The following is a 19,169-nucleotide window of genomic DNA, read 5'->3' on the forward strand; positions in this document are numbered from 1 at the left end:
TCTTTTGTGAGGAGGTCCCCTGGGACTGTGGCAAATATCTCATTCCTCATTGAACTTACCTGCATGAACTTGTGGCCTCCTGTCTTATCCAATGGGCTATAATCTATGCTATCCTAACTTCTTTTATTTTAAAGTAAAACATTCCCCAGATGCAGCCAATGTGACTTTAAGATGACTCATATCTTTTGACACGTTCATATCATTCTTTAAGAACTTCATTACTTTCTGGCACAAGAAGATATTCTAGGTTCATCTTGAACTTTCCCTGCTCCAGCCCTAGAGAATAGTATTTAGACACCAAGATTTCAACATCAAGTAAGTTCATTGCTACTGATGTGTCACTGCTCTCAGTACCCAGAATTTAAAAAAAAAATGCATATATCTGTGCATGTATAGCCATATACACACACACTAATATAATCATTTCTATATTAATCTATACATTGAGTCATGAGTCCTCCCTTGTATGTCCAACTCTTACCCAACACCACAGGATTTATTTTTTTCTTCTTCCATATTTGTAATTCTCTGGCACCCACTATCATTAACACACTTTCTTATGCGATCAAGCCCTCCATATAAACAGCCTCCTACCATTGCTGCCCCCACCCCCACACAGATGCTGTCCTCGCCTCACTCAGGTTCTACATCCCTCCTCAGGTCACCACTGCACCCCTGGTTTAGATGCCCTTTTCACTCTGTTCAGCCTCAACATCCCATCCTGGACTACCACGGCTCCCTGTCTCCCTATGAACATTGATGAACATTGTCTTCTTTAGCCTTGCCTAATGGGTTTCGACTGAACCATTTAAGAAAAGAAAGCAAAAGTATGAGGAATTGCTGAGGATTTCTGAACAGAAACCCTATTGTTTCCAGGCTTAGAAGCTAGTCGGTGAAATGGGTAGAGAACAAGAGGAGTAGGTGCTGGGCAATGCCCAGCCTCTGTGCTCCACGGTGCAGGAAGGATCTGCTTGGCCAGATCCCTGATTATTGCCTTCCTGGCCAGGCACTTGCTTACGTCAAATCTTACCTATCTGCCAGGCTGGGACATGATCTCAGGTCTTACCTTTGTGACTTTGAATAAGAGAATGCTGTCATTGGTACCCCTTCCACTCCCGCTTTCTGGTTCAGGGGTATTTAACCTGGGGTCCACAAGCTTTGGGAACTCCATAAGCCCTCTAATATATGTGCAAATATGCTTTTCTCTGGTGAAAGAATCCAGAACTTTATTCAGTTTCTTAATAGATGCATTACCCAGCAACATTAACTACTTGCTCTACATCAAAAGGTTGACAACAAATTCGGTCTTACCAATAATTAAAGAAAAGCAAATAAAATGAAATACTATTTGCCATAAATAGGTTGGTGAAGATGAAAAAGTTTGTGAAATCTGTATTAACTTGATTGCAGCTGTAACAAATTACCATAGATTTAGTGGCTTAAAACAAGACACATTTACTCTGTTACAGTTCTGGAGGTCAGAAGTCCAAAACAGATCTTACTGGGCTAAAATCAAGATTGACCAAGATGTTTCCTTCTGGAGGCTCTACGGGGAAATATATTCGTCTTTTCCAGCTCCTCAAAGCCACCTGCATCCCTTGGCTGTGGCCCTTCTCCCATCTGCAAGAATGGCAGCATAGCATCTTCACATTTCTCTCTGACTCGCTATCTTCCCCATTATAAGGCCCCTTTTGATGACATGAGGCCTACTTGCATAATCGAGGATAATCCCCCATCTCAGTATTCTTTCTTAATCACATTTGCAAAGTCCCTTTTGTCATGTGAGGTAGCATATTCATAGGTTTCGGGGATTAGGGTGTGGATTTCTTTAGGGGGGCAGTTATTCTGCCTATCAGAAGATCAAAGAATTAAATAATATATACTATCATGCATTGTTGCCCAAAACGTAAATTAGGATAACATTTCTGAAGGGCAATTTAGCAATGTATATCAGTATTTTCAAATGATACCTACTGAGCTATCAGTGCTACTTCAGTCATGTAACCTAGGGAAATATTTGGTCACAGAGATGTATGTACTAGGAAATTCACCACAGCGTAGTTTATATTAGTGAAAAATTGGAAACATGTAATTATCTATAAAGAGTTGATTAAAGATTCTTTTTTTTGCTTCATAATGGTGCTGATTTTTTTTTTATTTCAATATCTTTTGGGGTACAAGTGGTTTTTTTGTTACATGGATGAATGAATTACATAGTGGTGAATCCTGAGATTTTAGTGCACCCATCACCCATTTAAAGAATGAGGTAGACTTACATTCATTGACAAGAAAATTGTCCAAGATTTATTAATCTGCCTAATGATGTGTGTGCATATGTGTGATTGGAAAGAGAGACATTCAGATCAATTACGTCTGAGAAGTGGGACTTGAGGGATTTTTGAATTTTTATATTTTTGTGAGCTTTTAGTCTATAATGAACATGCATTGGTATTTTTTAAAGTAACAAGTTGGATCTTTTAATTAGAAAAGAAGGTATTGAATTCATCTTCCTTGTCTTGTGAAAATGGCTGCTTTCTTTGGGGGTAAAAATATATCTTGCCCAGGCAGTTAGTGGTTTTACTAGGCCATTTGTTCTCAGCATACAGAAACTCAAATGATCTCATACCCTCGACCAGGGGTTGGTCCTGAAGGCAAGTCTAGACCACCACCCCTTTATAAATAAGATTTTAGTGGGGCACAGCCCCACCCATTTGTTTATGTATTGTCTATGGCTGATCTCAAGTTACAATGGCAGAGTTGAGTAGTTGTGACAGAGACCATATGGCTCACAAAGTCTACAATATTCACTATCTGGCCCTTAAAAAAAAAAAAAATTGCCAACTCCTGCTCTGGCCTTCTTACCAACAATGACAAACATCTTTTGACTACTTTGTTTTTAATAATTTTTTGACAAGAGTGAAGAGTCAGATGGCAATATGTAAACACCTTATTGTAAACACTGTTCATTCCCAATTCCCACCCCCACCATCATAATTCAAAAATAAATTTTAAGGGGAAAAAATCTCATTACTGTAGGAAAAGGTTGGTTTTCCTTCTCTATATTCTAGGGTTTCTCAGCTTTGGTCTTTAGAGAGATCTAAGAGCAAACTCTAATGAAATGCTAATTGTACATTTTAAAGCAGAATACAGGTGCCCAGTAATGTTACTGGATAACAGGCATAATTTCTGTCCCACAGTAAGCGTACTTGCTCTGTCCACGTCTGGATTTAGGCTTTCAAATCTGCTGTCCTTGGAATGCCTTTGAGAAGCTCTGTGGAAACTTTAGTTCTCACTTCCATTCGTTATGCAGAGATCACATACACATCCCTCGTTTCACAGAGATCATATACACATCCCTCATTATACAGAGATCATATACACATCCCTCGTTATACAGAGATCATATACACATCCCTCATTATACAGAGATCATATACATATCCCTCGTTATACAGAGATCATATACACATCCCTCATTATACAGAGATCATATACACATCCCTCTTTTGATACACATTTCCCATTCTAGACCCTCCACCTTCATGCAATGTGAGTGCTATGGAAAATAGGGAAGCCCAAAAAGAACTGATTCAATCAAGTTATCAATTCCCAGCAGAACAGCATGTGCTCTGCCTCATCCAGGTCTAAATTGGCCTGAATCCCAGGTTGCCTAAGGAGACTGCATTGGTTTTAGGGCTCCTAAGTCCATGTGAATCTCGGAAAGGTCAGAATTGGACCCAGGAATCTGAACCAGGCCACTTCTTCCTTAAGCCATCAGAGAGTCCACTAAATGCTCCACAGGAGTCTCTGGAGTATATAAATCCAAGGCAAACTGAGAACCACACCCAAAGAAGATTAGGAGCCAAAACAAATCAATACTAGAAATGTAGGTTGCAAGACAAATAGCAGGCATTTGGACAACTCTCTGCCCTTCAGATGCCCATCACACTGATGCTGTGACGTTTCCAGTAAGGGCTGTGGATGGATTTCTGATGTTTCTTTATAGGACCTATCTATTTATGGGTCCTTGAAAAACCATTCGCTCTTTGGGCTTGGCTGCCAAAGGCCAGACATCACTTGCCAGAGCATATTCTTATCCCAGGAGCGAGCCAGCCAGATCCTTTCAGACACCTCTGTCCTTACTCCTCCTCCTGCTCCCTTGCCATGGCTCTCATCCCTACTTCAGCTCACCACTCAACTCTCCCCCGTCTTTACTTCCCTCACATTGTTTGTTATTTTCTTTCCTTTGTTGAGAAGTTTCTGGAGCCTCAAGACCCAGGAGACTAATGTGGGAATAATAAATCCAGGAAAGGTCTTTGCGTTCCCCTGGTAGCTCCACCCCCACTGCTCACCGTGGAATTCCTAGTCAGCAGCGGCTCCTTCCTGTGGCTTGCAGCTGAACCCTGTGCTGTGCCCAGTGAGGCCTCCCGGGATACGTGCTAGGAATATTAGCCATTCTTCATATCCACTGCTATGCTGTGGCTTTGGTTCAGCAGAAGAGAAATGAAATGGGATGTAGACAGGGCTGTGAGCGAAGGTTCTTTTTTTGTGTTGGGGTAAAGGGCGTTATTTCTTTTGCAGAGGCTCTCACCCAAAATCAGAGCAAAACTTAGCCTGAGTTCCTGAGGCATGCTGGCTCGGAGCTGCTGCTGGCTTTTGTTTTTCCTCCAAGCTGATCTGTGTATTTTCTAGCTTGCCTTTCCATTGGCTGGAGTGAGGGGATGAGAACAGCTATATCACTCAAGAGAAGGGAATATTCATAGAGTCCGCAGGTTTTCCTCTGAAACTGTTGTTTTCTTCTCAGAGCAGTAGCACCTTGATTATAGAGCGCTTCCTTGAAAGTCCTAAAATAATGTCCTATTTCAGACCAAATGTGAAACATCAATTTCATTCCTTACAGAATCTAATCTTGGTGTGCGTGATAGATAAGTATACACAGAGAGGGGAATTTCTGACCTAGGACTCTCCTCAAAAGTATGGTATGACCCAAGTATGATCCACATTCTAGAGTTCATTAAAAGGCCATCTCATCTGTGGATTGAAATTACTTCCTTAGCTCCAGGCAGCCTGCAGCCAGGCCTCCCTAGGGTCATCCTGGTCTTCCCTCCTGCAGGCCAGGTGGCACCTGCCAGCAGCCTGAGGGTAGAGTCAACTAGGGACTTATAAACCCAGAAAGTTGAAACTTTAAAAAAAATGCTGATGTGTTTTTAAAAGGTATATTTTATGCCAAGAGCCTACTGGCAGAGAAGGACTTATGGGAACCCTGTGTATTATCCTCATGAGGTAGGTTCAATTCTGATCAACAGTACTGTGAACTTTTAAAATTGGACTAATTTCCTAGAGCCTGCCTGCCTGCTACCCCCTAGAGGTGGCCCAGTCAATCCTGGAGAAGCATGCTGTTTAACACGGCCAAACTCTATCTTACAGTACAGTCACATTTTCATAGTTGTGTGTGCAAAGTATCAGGAGCAGGCATCTCATCTTCTTCACCTGTAAGAGAATAACCAAGTCCTAGGGTATGGGTGAAGGTAGTAACCACACAGTAACCCAATCATTTTGGAAAATGCAAGGCCTTAATCAAGTCATAAATCTGGATGGAGCTACTTTTCATGCTGAGAAATATATCAAGTTCTTCTACCAGATGCCCAGGATCATGGGAGACGTTAGCATACCCCCTGCCAACGGAAACCCAAAGCTTACGCTAGGGGTGAAGAGACATTTGGGGAATGGAAAATGGGCTTGGATAGTTTTATTTTTCCAGGAATGTCTTAAAGTTAGTTTTCTTTGGGAAAATGTACATGGGAATCATCTTGGCCCAGTTATTTGACCAGCTTATTGGGAGGTCCCAGAAATCGGAGTGAAAATTAAAGTTGCTTGTCTTCTCCCACAGCCTTCTAGGGTCCAGCTGACAAATGGAGGGAGTAACTGAGTTTTTCCAATATGAATTAATCATTCCTCTCAGCCAGCTGCTTGGTGCCAGCTCCCACTCCTTCTAAGCTCTTTAGCGACCATCTCTGCCACCCAAGAGAATGCCAAACCAGAAATGGAAGGAGCCAGAAAAGGCACTGAAATGACTTCCCTACTTTTGCTCAGTCACCCCATGGCCTTAGAGTGAGGCCCGTACACACCACATACCACGAGCAAAATGGAGATCCCTCTATAAAATTTACAGGACTGAGTGTTTTCCAGTTTTGGAAAATTAAATTAAGGAAAGGACTCCCAGACTGACTACACCAAGTGCCAAGTTTCATCCCGACACACATCATTTTTATAGTAAGTTTAACTCTGTGAAAAATAGAGGATTGTAATGAAAATGCTGACAGGCCTGGAGCCAGCTCATGAAGTAATAATGCCACATCTTTCATACTTTTACACAGCATGTCCTAATCAGCCACAGCTTTCTTTTCCTTTAGAAAGCAGTTAAATACGTGAAAATTCCCAGAGTACTACTTTTTCTCCTCCTCTTTTAGATTGTATATTCTTATTTTCAGAGCATTCTTCCCCGTGAACTGGGTTCAGTCCATTTACAGCTTTTACTCTGTGCAATCTGTTTATCAAGCTCAGGTGCCTTTTTCTGAGCTGTTTGGCTGGAGAGGGGGAAGAGGAGAAAAAACGTGCACTCAGAATTCTTGCTTCTGCTTATTAAGGCTAGGAACACATCAAAATGAACTTTGGCTGTGTGGCTCACTCAAAGTGACTGGCAGCTAATGAATGCCTGAGCTGGCTTGATCTATCCTACAAGGAAGCCCACAAATTAAGCCACTGGCCAAAAATCTTGGTGATTTTCAGACCTTTGAATCAACAAAAAATCCACTATATAATGACCCTTGTATTGTGAATTCAGAGCTTCTTTAGAGACAGGTGCCACAAAGGCAACCTTATGCTACCAGTATTAAAGTTAGCATCTTCTGCTGAGGGTGCGAGGAAGTGAAGCCAGAGATGCCAGGGCTCCCAGTTTTCTTCCCCCATGTCCTCATCTGTCCAACTCAGGCTGTTTCCCTGAGTCAGGCTGTTTAGTCACAGAAGCCAATGTAAAATCAAGAGACAAACATGCAGAAAGTCAGTGAAGTCAATGGGAAAAAGCAAGGATGTCAATTGGTGGCACATTATAGGTTACATCTGGACTGATGCCCTGTCCTTGCTGGAGGCCATTGATTCTGTCATAGTTGGAGCAAATAATGAGGGGAACCCCCTGGTCTTTAGTGTTTCCTTTTCCCTATTTCATGTCAGTACTTAGGGATGTTAGACCCATTCAGAGAGATGTCTTTTCTGGTGTTTAAGATTAAAAAAAAATCAATCACACATTTTTTTTCTCCTATTATAACTTTGAATATTTTGTTATATTTTTCCAGTCTCTTTTTTTAATTATACTTGAAGTTCTAGGGTACATGTGCACAACGTGCAGATTTGTTACATATGTACACATGTGCCATGTTGGTGTGCTGCACCCATTAACTCGTCATTTAACATTAGGTATATCTCCTAATGCTATCCCTCCCCGCTCCCCCCACCCCACAATAGGCCCCGGTGTGTGATGTTCCCCTTCCTGTGTCCAAGTGTTCTCATTGTTCAATTCCCACCTATGAGTGAAAACATGTGGTGTTTGGTTTTTTGTCCTTGCAATAGTTTGCTGAGAATGATGGTTTCCAGCTTCATCCATGTCCCTACAAAGGACATGAACTCATCATTTTTTATGGCTGCATTGTATTCCATGGTGTATATGTGCCACATTTTCTTAATCCAGTCTATCGTTGTTGGACATTTGGGTTGGTTCCAAGTCTTTGCTATTGTGAATAGTGCCTCAATAAACATATGTCAATCACACATTTTTAGAAGGGGGCAACTTCATGTATAATTTGGTTTTCTTATTGGGTACATCTGTCCCATTCTAAACTTTTCATACTTTCCAGCTATTTTTTAAAAAATAGATGAAACTAGGGAGAGGAAATCTTACACATATGTGAATCACACCTGGCTTTGGCTCAGTTTAGAACCACTTTAGGCCTAGGAATGGGGCCTAAAGACAATATTTTCTTTCAGTGGTTAAGAAGGGTTGATAGAGAGAGGCCTTCTGCTGCCAGAACTCTCATTAGAAAGCAGCCTTGCCAAGTGCTGCGTCCTCCTCAGCCACCTCACTAACCCAAGCCCTTTAATAGCTGAGGCCTGGAGAGGAGACAGCACTGTCACTGCCTGCTGATGGCCTCTTTCCTGGGGTGGAAATGCTCCGCATATACGTAGCTGGGAGGGAAACAGAAAAGAGAGATGCTAGCCCCCTGCCTTAAATACTGTGAACTTCTTCGTTGAAGGAAAGGGAGGGTTGGGAATGGTTTATTATTTGGCCTCTCAAAGGTGTGGAATACATTATTAGCACGTGTTTTTTGGTGTCCTTGTAAATGGCACACAGAGAGATTGCTTGCCTTCAAAAACCAAAAAAAAAAAAAATGACGGATACTTCATTTGTTTTAACAAATGAGAAATGTCCGTGACAGAAAGGAACCTGTTAAAAGCCAGGTTTTCTCATTAGCAGTGAAACATGGATAATTATTCACTGGGAACATACACAGTGGGGATTCATGTTAAATTCCTTATTTTGACTGTTGCTGCTGGCAATCCATAGAGAGCACTGTGTACACACAGAGACATGCACATAAATATGTACATAAAATTACAGGGGCCTGTACTACATGTGCTGAGAATACCAATTCTGAACACAAAGTTTTTATAAAATAAGCTACGTATTTAGTTGAAAGCCTTGAAAAACAGATTAGTGACAGAAAAGGCAGATGGCTGACAATTTTGTTCATTTACTTTGGTTATAATTAATTTATTTTGATCTTTCCCTTTACTGTTGAAAGTGGACTTTCCTAAAAGTGTTTCCAATTCAAGATGAACAGTCATGCTTATTAGAAGCACATTCCCTGAGGTCACTGTCCTGATGTGAAGGGAAATACAGTCACCTCTACAGCAGAGGGACATTGCCTCAGGAATGAGAGGCTATGTTAGGATTGTTGTAGTTAGGATATACATTCAGCAACTTTTAACAAAGACTCCCAGCAACAGTAGCTTAAAGAAGGCAGAAGTATATTCCAATTTCAAGTAACGGTCCAGAGGAAGATGTTCCATGCCTGGTCTGACACCATATCCTCTAGAGACCAAGGCAAAATGTCTTTAATCTCCTCTTGCTCTGACATCTCTGGAGTGTTGCCCTTATCCACCTAGGCCAGGATGGCTTGCTGTACATACATGTTCTCAACAGCAGGATAGAGGAAGAGGCAAGAGGAACAAATCCTTTTAAAGACAGGTTTCAGGAGGTGTGCACAGCCCTCTCCCTCTCTACTAAATGTAACCACATGCTCCACACTTTCTTGCAAGGAAAGTTGGAAAAATCTCTATTCCAAGAAACTATGTACCTCAAGTTCAGAGGTTCTTTTCCAATAAGAGGAGGACAGATATGAAGGGACTAGCAGATTCTGCCACACACAGCAACCAACCTAAAGTTGTCAGAAGCAAAGGTATTGAGCACAAATGAAAGTAATCTCTGAATGCAACAGAGCTGCATGAATGAAAGTGAACCTACCAGCAGGAATTTTTAAGTTGGACAGATTATAAAATATTTGGGAAAATATGTTTAAATAGGCTGGTACAGCAATTGTTTTAAACTTGTTAAAACTTTCTAGAAAATAGAGCTGAATAGGCAAAGTATGTAAAAGCAATTGTTTAGACACAGAGTCATTCCTGATGATTTAAACAGTGCAAATGTGTTTTTCTTTTTATTATGGGTAATTTCACATATATACAAAATAAACCTGATGGTATATAAGAGAACCCCCATGCCCTAATCACCACCTTCTGCCATTCTTATTTCATTTGTACTTTCACCTATGCCCCACTCCATCCTACTCAATGATTCTTTTAGGTAAAATGTATATACATTGAAATGCGTACATCTTTTTTTTTTAGATGGAGTCTTGCTCTGTCGCCCAGGTGGAGTGCAGTGGTGTGATCTCAGCTCACTGCAACCTCTGCCTCCTGAGTTCAAGCAATTCTCCCGCCTCAGCCTCCTGAGTAGCTGGGACTACAGGCGCCTGCCACCATGCCAGGCTAATTGTTTGTATTTTTAGTAGAGATGGGGTTTCACCATCTTGGCCAGGCTGGTCTTGAACTCCTGACCTCGTGATCCACCCACCTCTGCCTCCCAAAGTGCTGGGATTACAGGCGTGAGCCACCATGCCTGGCTGAAATACATACATCTTAACCGCACAATTTTAACAGACACACACCCATGTATTCACCTTGTCTAACATATATTTGACTACTTGATTTTTTTTCTAGTCTTTTTACTCTCTCTGCTTTACTTTGGCTAATTTCTATTATTATATCTTGGATTTCACAGATCTTTTTCTATAATGTTTCATCTGCTATTGATCCTATCCAGTGAATTTTTTATTTCAGAAAATATATGTCATTTCTAGAAGTCCAATTGATTTTTTATTACTTCCACTTTCTTCCTCAGTATGCACACATTTTTCTTTAAATACTTAACATATTTTAACACTCTGTTTTAAGATCCTTGTCTACCAATTCCATCATCCTTGTCGTTTCTGGATTTGTTTCCATCGACTGATTTTTGTCCTCATTATGTATTACATTTTCCTCCTTGACTTGTCGAGTAATATTTGGCTATCTACTGGTCAGTGCAGATTTTACATCAAATGTCTAGGTTTTGTTGTCTTCCTTTAAAGATTGTTGGGGTTTTCTTCTATTAGTTAAGTTATTCAAAGTTAAATTTGATGTTTTTAAGCATAGTTAGAGCAAATCTAGAGTAGCCTTTACCCTAAGGCCTTTCTGGGGTCTCTATTAAATGCTCTGGATGATCAACAATTACATTCCACTCTTGCTGGTCAGAACTCAAAGGCCTTCCAGCCCTATTTGAAGTTTGGAAAATATAAAGCTCACAGCTTCCTGGTTGCTCTTTGCTAAACCTTGCAGATTTTAACCTGATGCACGTACATCTTCAGTTGGGCAAAATCTCAAGAGGAATTTATGCAGATTTTGGGAGCTCTTTTTCTGTGTAGCACCCTCAACTCCGGAATTCTGCTCAATAGTGTCCAGTTGCCTCCGCCTCTTCAAACTCTCTTCTTTGTCTCATCAATTTGTCTAGACTATTGTGCTCTGTTTGGGATATCCCTCTGTTATGTGTTGAATTGTATCCCCACAAAAGATGTTGAAATCCTAATCTCCAGTACCTGTGGATGTGCCCTTATGTGGAAATAGGGTATTTGTAGATGATCAAGTTAAGATAAGGTCATTCATATGGACCCTAATCCAACATGACTGGTGTCCTTATGGAAAGGTGAAATTTAGATATACGCAGACATGCACACAAGGCAGAACTCCATGTGAACATAAAGACAGAGCAGAGTGATGCATCTGCAAGCCAAGGTACACCAAAGATTGCCAGCAAACCACCAGAAACTGGGAGAGAGGCATGAAACAGATTCTTCTCTCACAGTCCTCAAATGGAGCCAACCTTGCCAGCACTTTCATCTCGGACTTCTAGCCTCCAGAACTATCAGACAATAAATTCATCTTATACAAGCCAAGGCCACCCAGTTTGTGGTACTTTATTATGGCAACCCTAGAAAACTAATACACCCTTCCATGCTTTGCAGCTCACAATGTGCCTCCAGGGAAATTGCAGAGCTCACCTAGTCTGTTTCCTTTCTTCCAGGGATCACAGTCCTCTAGTTTCTGTTGTCTAATACCTGAAAACAGTTGTTTCATACATTTTTATCCCATTTTCTAATATTTATGGCAAGAGAATAAATTCAATCCTGTTGTTACCTCATCATAGCTGGAAGCAGTAAATTTCATTTTTAAAGGAGGGTTTATCTAGATGAAAATTCCGGGTTCACCAGTTTATGTTTCCCCAGCATTTTAAAGTAATAGTTCCATTATCTCCTGGTTTCCTTTGTTTCCTATAAGAGGTCAACCATCATTCACATCATTGTTTCCTTACATGTAGTCTAGCTTTTTTTCTGTCCTGGCTTTCAATATTTTTTCTTTCTCTGCTATCTACTAATTCCAGCAATTTGACTATGATGTGCATAGGTGGTTTGTAAACTTTTTAGAACTTTCAGATTTCCCAAAATTTGGGAAGTTTGAGGATTTTATTTCTTCCAATATGTTTTAGTTATTTTCTTCTTTCTTTCATGGCCTCCAATTAGACATATATTAGACCTCAATTTTTTTTCAATTTTTTTCTGTTTTTCACAATGGATAATTTATGTGGAACTTCAAGTTTACTGACACTCCTGCCAGCTCTAATCTTCTGTTAAGATTGTCTAGTAAATTTTTCATTTCATTTTTCATATTGTTAAGCTCTAGAAGTTTTTATAGTTTCTACTTGTCTACTGATACATGCCATCTGTTCATTTATTATGAGTGTATTTTCATGTCCTTAAACATATTTATAATAGCTGCTTAAAGTCAGTGTCCACTCACTGCAGCATTTGTATCATCTCAGGATTGGTTTCTGTTGACAGCTCTTTTGCTGAAATATTGGTCTCATTTCCTGTCTAGTGGTTTTTGATTATTCTTGTCAACTGGTTTTGAACATTATAGATGTACGGATATAGAGGCTCTGAATTATGTTATGTTCCTCTGAAGAACATTTATTTTTGGTCTAACAGGCAATTAACTCAAACTCTAGCCTCTATCTTCCCTGCAGTGGGCAGCAACTGAAATCTCTGCTCTGTTCTTTTAGCTTCTACCTGCTGCTCTTTTGCTGGGTCCTCTGGGGTCTGCCTGCTAAAAATCTAGTAAAATTTATGCAGAAATCTGAAATTCATCGCCTTTGTTGCTCTTCTGTGACTTGCTTCTAAACTTACATGCTGTCTTAACAGCCCCCAGACTCTGACCTCTGAAATCACAAGCCAATAAAGTTATAAGCTTTCCAGCTCCTTAAGCCATTTTCAGGCAAAAAAAAACACAAGCTGGTAGATTATACCTGTTGCAATTGCCAGGTTTCTAGGCTAGATACCTGTCCTATTTCTGCCACTGTTTTTGGTAATTCTTCAATGTTTTCAAGTAGTAATTGTTTTTCTCGGGGTTTGTTTTGTTTTTGTTTAGATTTTATGATTGCTATCTGCAGGAAGGTAAGTCCAACTAAGTTATTCACCATTAATGGAAGCTAGACTCCTCAGTCAAGTTGTTTTAAGAGTTTTCTGGCCAAGATCTATTCATTCTGTTTTGCAAAATTTGAAGCATTGTTACTCAACCTCTTTTCTAATTCTTTATCTTCTTAATAACCCAGTTGTTAGTATACTTCTAAATATTCAAGATCCAGAAGTAAATGCTCTCCTAAATTATATAAAGAGATAGGTGTCCATGGCATTAAATGTAATATTTTGATTATACAAAATGCTTTAATTTCTGATTTCACTACCTTTGGATTTTTTATCATTCCAACGTGAGTCAGAATGAAGTTCACCTTCTATATTACCAGAGGTGGGGAGCCTATTATTAGAAAAATATGTTTGGTCAGTTATTTTCATAAACAAATGAAACCATTAATCCATTCCAACAATTCTTATTAGCCACTTATTTGCCATCTTGCCTCTTTAAAATTTTTTGCTTTCTAAGCTTCCATGTTATTACATAGTCTCAGTTTTCCTCTTCTCTCTCAAATCATTTCTTCTCAGGCTCCTTTGATATCTCTTCTTCCTTCTTCAATCACTGAATTCTAGAGTTCTTCCAGTGTTTCGTCCTGAGGACTGATCTCTTGTCATTGATTATTTTGTCCACACATACCTATAAGACAAGTTCCCAAAATCTGTGTCTCCAGCTCTTATTTCTAACTGGCTTCCATCTTTATCATCCTGATGGATTTTTTCATCTTGGGGTTCCATCACAACCTTTAAATGAAAGAAAATTAAAACTACATTTTTCCATCCACAGGGGTGGTGATAAGGAAGAGCTTCTCTTACTGACTTACCTATTTCTGTTCATGGTCTCACTCGTGTTCCAAACTCTTTAGCTCTTATTTGCATCCTCCCCTTTCTTCCTCACATTCCATCAGAGCTGCTTTTGCAAATATGTCTCTCTTTTTTGCCAATTTGAACTGATACAGACTCTCTAAAGCTAGTGCATCTTGCAAAGAACCACCTTAACGATCCTTCTAAAGCCAACCTAGATAATACCACTTCCCGTCTTCAGGCGTCTTCAGGCATCTTCAGGGATTCCCAAAAGACCAGATTCTGGCCTTCAAGGCCCTCTCCATTACAACTCCTACCCACAATGCTGGCTGTATCTATGTTTCCCAAGTTCCAACCAAGTCAGTAGTTTTTACTCCCAGCCACACTACAAGTTTTCTCATCTTTGCACCTTTGCTTACACTGCTTCTTCCAGAATACCCTCCCCTTCCTACTGTATATCCCTGCTCTCTGCCTGTATCATTCCTAAATAACCTTCTTTTTTTTTTAACAGATAGAATATAATAGGACTTGGTTAAACAAGTATTGGAGAACTGCAAAAGTTCTGTGATACTTACAGAGCAATCATAGAGGTAGCAACTGCTGAAAGCAGCTACCATCACTAGGGCTGAGGGAACAAGGGAAGAGGTTGGGATTATTAGAAATTACCTTTTTTATTATTAATTTCAGTAGGTTTGGGGGGAACAGGTATTGTTTGGCTATATGGATAAGTTCTTCAGTGGCCTGATTTCTGAGATTTTGGTGCACCCATCACCCAAGCAGTGTGCACTGTACCCAATGTGTAGTCTTTTATCCATCACCCACCTCCCATGCTTCCTTCCGAGTACCCAGAGTCCATTGTATCATTCTTATGACTTTGCATCCTCATAGCTCAGCTCCCACTTATGAGTGAGAACATAAAATGTTTGGTTTTTGCATTCCTGAGTTACTTCGCTTAGAATAGTGGTCTCCAATTCCATTCAGGTTGCTGCAAATGCCATTATTTCATGCCTTTTTATGGATGAGTAGTATTCCATGGTATATGTATACACCACAGTTTCTTTATCCACTCATTGATTGATGGGCATTTGGGCTGGTTCCGTATTTTGCAGTTGCAAATTCTGCTGCTATAAACATGCATGTGCAAGTGTCTCTTTTTATATATAAAGACTTGTTTTCGTCTGGGTGGATACCCAGTAGCAGGATTGCTGGATCAAATGGTAGATCTATTTTCAGTTCTTTAAAGAATCTCCATACTGTTTTCCATAGTTCCACCAGCAGTGTAAAAGTGTTCCTTTCTACCACGTACATGCCAACATCTATTATTTTTTGATTTGCTGATTACAGCCATTCTTGCAGGAGTAAGGTGGTATCACATTGTAGTTTTGATTTGTATTTCTCTGATAATTAGTGATGTTGAGCATTTTTTCAAAAGTTTGTTGGCCATTTGTGTATCTTCTTTTGAGAATTGTCTATTCATGTCCTTAGCCCACTTATGGATAGGATTATTTGCATTCCTTATAGATTCTGGATATTAGTCCTTTGCCAGATGCATAGTTTGTGAAGATTTTCTCCCACTCTGCGAGCTTCTGTTTACTCTGCTGATTATTTCCTTTGCTGTTGAGAAGCTTTTTAGTTTAATTAGGTTCCATCTATTTATTTTTGTTTTTATTGCGTTTGCTTTGGGTTCTTGGTCATGAAGTCTTTGCTGAAGCCAATGTCAAGAAGGGTTTTTCCAGTGTTACCTTCTAGAATTTTTTATGGTTTCAGGTCTTAGATTTAAGTCCTTGATCCATTTTGAGTTGACTTTTGTAGAAGGTGAGAGATGAGGATCCAGTTTCATTCTCCTACATGTGGCTTGCCAATTATCCCAGCACCTTTTATTGAATAGGGTGTCCTTTCCCCACTTTATGTTTTTGTTTGCTTTGTTGAAGATCAGTTGGCTGTAAGTATTTGGCTGTATTTCTGGGTCATCTGTTCTGTTCCATTGGTCTTTTTATGCCTATTTTTATACCAGTACAATGCTGTTTTGGTGACTATGGCCTTATAGTTTGAAGTCACGTAATGTGATGCCTCCAGATTTGTTCTTTTTGCTTAGTCTTGCTTTGTCTATGTGGGCTCTTTTTTAGTTACATATGAATTTTAGAATTGTTTTTTCTAATTCTGTGAAGAATGATGGTGGTATCTTGATGGGAATTGCATTGAGTTTTTAGATGACTTTTGGCAGTATGGTCATTTTCACAATATTGATTCTACCCATCCTTGAGCATGGAATGTGTTTCCATTTGTGTCGTCTATGATTTTTTCAGCAGTGTTTTGTAGTTTTCCTTGTAGAGGTCTTTCACCTCCTTGGTTAGGTATATTCGTAAGTATTTTAATTTTTTTTGCAACTATTGTGAAAGGAGTTGAGTTCTTGATTTGATTCTCAGCTTGGTTGCTGTAGTTGTATAGCAGGGCTACTGATTTGTATACATTAATTTTGTATCCTGAAACTTTGCTGGATTCATTTATCAGTTCTAGGTGCTTTTTGGAAGAGTCTTTAGGGCTTTCTAGGTATATGATTATATCATTGGTGAACAGCAACAGTTTTACTTCCTCTTTACCGATTTGGATGCGCTTTCTTTCTTTTCTTTCTCTTGTCTGATTGCTCCGGCTAGGGCTTCCAGTACTATGTTGAAGAGAAGCGGTAAAAGTGGGCATTCTTGTCTTGTTCTGGTTCTCAGGGAGAACTTTTCCCCATTCAGTATAGTGTTGGCTGTGGATTTGTCATAGATGGCTTTTATTACCTTAGAGTGTGTCTCTTCTATGCCAATTTTGCTGAGGGTTCTAATCCTAAAGCAATACTGGATTTTGTCAGGTGCTTTTTCTGCATCAATTGAAATCATGGGATTTTTTTATTTATGTGATGTATCACATTTATTAACTTGTGGATATTAAACCATGCCTGCATCCCTGGTATGAAACTTAATTGATCAAGGTGGATTATCTTTTTAATATGCTGTTGGATTTGGTTAGCTAGTATTTTGTTGAGGATTTTTACATTGATGTTCACCAGCGATACTGGTCTGTTTGCTTTATGTCCTTTCCTGGTTTTGGTATTAGGATGATACTGGCTTCATAGACTGATTTAGGGAGGACTCCCTCTTCTCTTTTTTTTTGGAATAGTTTCAGTAGGATTGGTACTAACTGTTCTTTGAATGTCTGATACAATTCAGCTGTGAATCCATCTGGTCCTGGACTTTTTTTTGTTGGCAATTTTTTATTACCATTTCAGTCTCACTGCTTGTTATTGATCTGTTCAGAGTTTCTGTTTTTTCCTGGTTTAATCTAGGAGGGTTGTATATTTCCAGGAATTTATCCATCACCTCTAGGTTTTCTAGTTTGTGCATGTAAAGCTGTTCATAGTAGCCTTGAATGATCTTTTGTATTTCTGTGGTATCATTTGAAACATCTCCCATTTTGTTTCTAATTGAGCTTATTTGAATCTTCTCTCTTCTTGGTTAACCCACTAATGGTCTATCAGTTTTGTTTCATCTTTTTAAAGAAACAGCTTTTTGTTTCATTTATCTATTTTTTGTTTCAATTTCATTTAGTTCTGCTCTGATCTTTATTATTTCCTTTCTTCTGCTGGGTTTGGGTTTGGTTTGTTCTTGTTTCTCAAATTCCTTGAAGTGTAACCTTAGATTGTCTATTTGTGCTCTTTCAGACTTTTTAATGTAGACATTCAATGCTGTGAACTTTCCTCTTAGCACCACCTTTGCTGTATCACAGAGGTTTTGAAAGACTGTGTCACTATTATTATTCAGTTCAAAGAATTTTTTAATTTCTACCTTGATTTCATTGTCGACACAACAGTCATTCAGGAGCAGGTTAATTACCATGTATTTGCATGGTTTTGAAGGTTCCTTTTGGAGTTGATGTCCAATTTTCTTCCACTGTGGTCTGAGAGAGTACTTGATATAATTTTGATTTTCTTAAATTTACTGAGACTTGTTTCATGGCCTGTAACATAGACTATCTTGGAGAATATTCCATGTGCTGATGAATAGAGTGTATATTCTGCAGTTGTTGGGTAGAATATTCTACAAATATCTGTTAAATCCATTTGTTCTAGGTTATAGTTTAAGTTTATTGTTTCTTTGTTGACTGTCTTGATGACCTGTCTAGTGCTTTCAGTGGATTATTGAAGTCTCCACAATTATTATGTTGCCATCTATCTCATTACTTAAGTCTGGTAATGATTGTTTTATAAGTTTGGGAGCTCCAGTATTATGTGCATAGTTAGGATTATGATATTTTCCTGTTGGACTAGTCCTTTTATCATTATATATGTCTCTCTTTGTCTTTTTTAACTGCTGTTGCTTTAAAGTCTGTTTTGTCTGGTATAAGAATAGCTACTCCTGCTTGTTTGGGGTGTTCATTTGCATGGAATACCTTTTTCTACCCCTTTACCTTAAGTTTATGTGAGTCCTTATGTGTTAGGTGAGTCTCTTGAAGACAGCAGATACTTGGTTGGTGAACTCTTACTCATTCCGCCATTCTCCATCTTTTAAGTGGAGCATTTAAGCCATTTGTATTCAACATTAGTATTGAGAGGTGTGGTACTATTCTATTTATTGTGCTAGTTGTTGCCTGAATACGTGTGTGTGTGTGTGTGTGTGTGTGTGTGCGTGATTGTTTTATAGGTTCTGTGAGATTTATGCTTTACAAAGTTCTATTTTGGTGTATTTTGAGGATTTGTTTCAAGATTTAGAGCCCCTTTTAGCAGTTCTTGCAGTGCCGACTTGGTAGTGGTGAATTCTCTCAGCATGTGTTTTTCTGAAAAAGACTATCTTTCCTTCATGTATGATGCTTAGTTTCACTGGATACAAAATTCTTGGCTGATAATAGTTTTGTTTAAGGAAGCTCAAGATAGGACCCCAATCACTTCTAGCTTGTAGGGTTTCTGCCAAGAAATCTGCTGTTAATCAGGTAGGTTTTCCTTTATGGGTTACCTGATACTTTTGGCTTGTAGCTCTTTAGATTCTTTCCTTTGTCTTGACTTCAGATAACCAGATGACTATGTGCCTAGATGATGATCTTTTTGCAATTAATTTCCTGGGTGTTCTTTGAGCTTGTATTTGGATGTCTAGATGTCTAGCAAGGTCAGGGAAGTTTTCCTCGATTATTCCCTCAAATATGTTTACCAAACATTTA

General features: G+C 39.3%; 1 protein-coding gene across 16 annotated transcripts in view; it reads left to right on the forward strand.

The window, feature by feature from the left end:
* ADAMTSL1 (ADAMTS like 1) overlaps positions 1-19,169 on the forward strand; it is a 1,004,318-nt gene that overhangs the window by 951,056 nt on the left and 34,093 nt on the right. For 4 of the 16 annotated variants that reach the window (XM_017015314.2, XM_047424077.1, XM_047424078.1 and 1 more), the window contains one exon: positions 1,470-2,137. The exons of the other annotated variants lie outside the window; for them this stretch is intronic. In XM_017015314.2, coding sequence (XP_016870803.1) covers positions 1,470-1,510 — 41 coding nt within the window. In that variant the 3' untranslated portion in view covers positions 1,511-2,137. Of the gene's footprint in view, positions 1-1,469; positions 2,138-19,169 lie in introns of those variants that run through there. 16 annotated transcript variants of the gene reach the window in all.

This window comes from Homo sapiens, chromosome 9 (assembly GCF_000001405.40).
Source record: "Homo sapiens chromosome 9, GRCh38.p14 Primary Assembly".
NCBI lineage: Eukaryota > Metazoa > Chordata > Mammalia > Primates > Hominidae > Homo > Homo sapiens.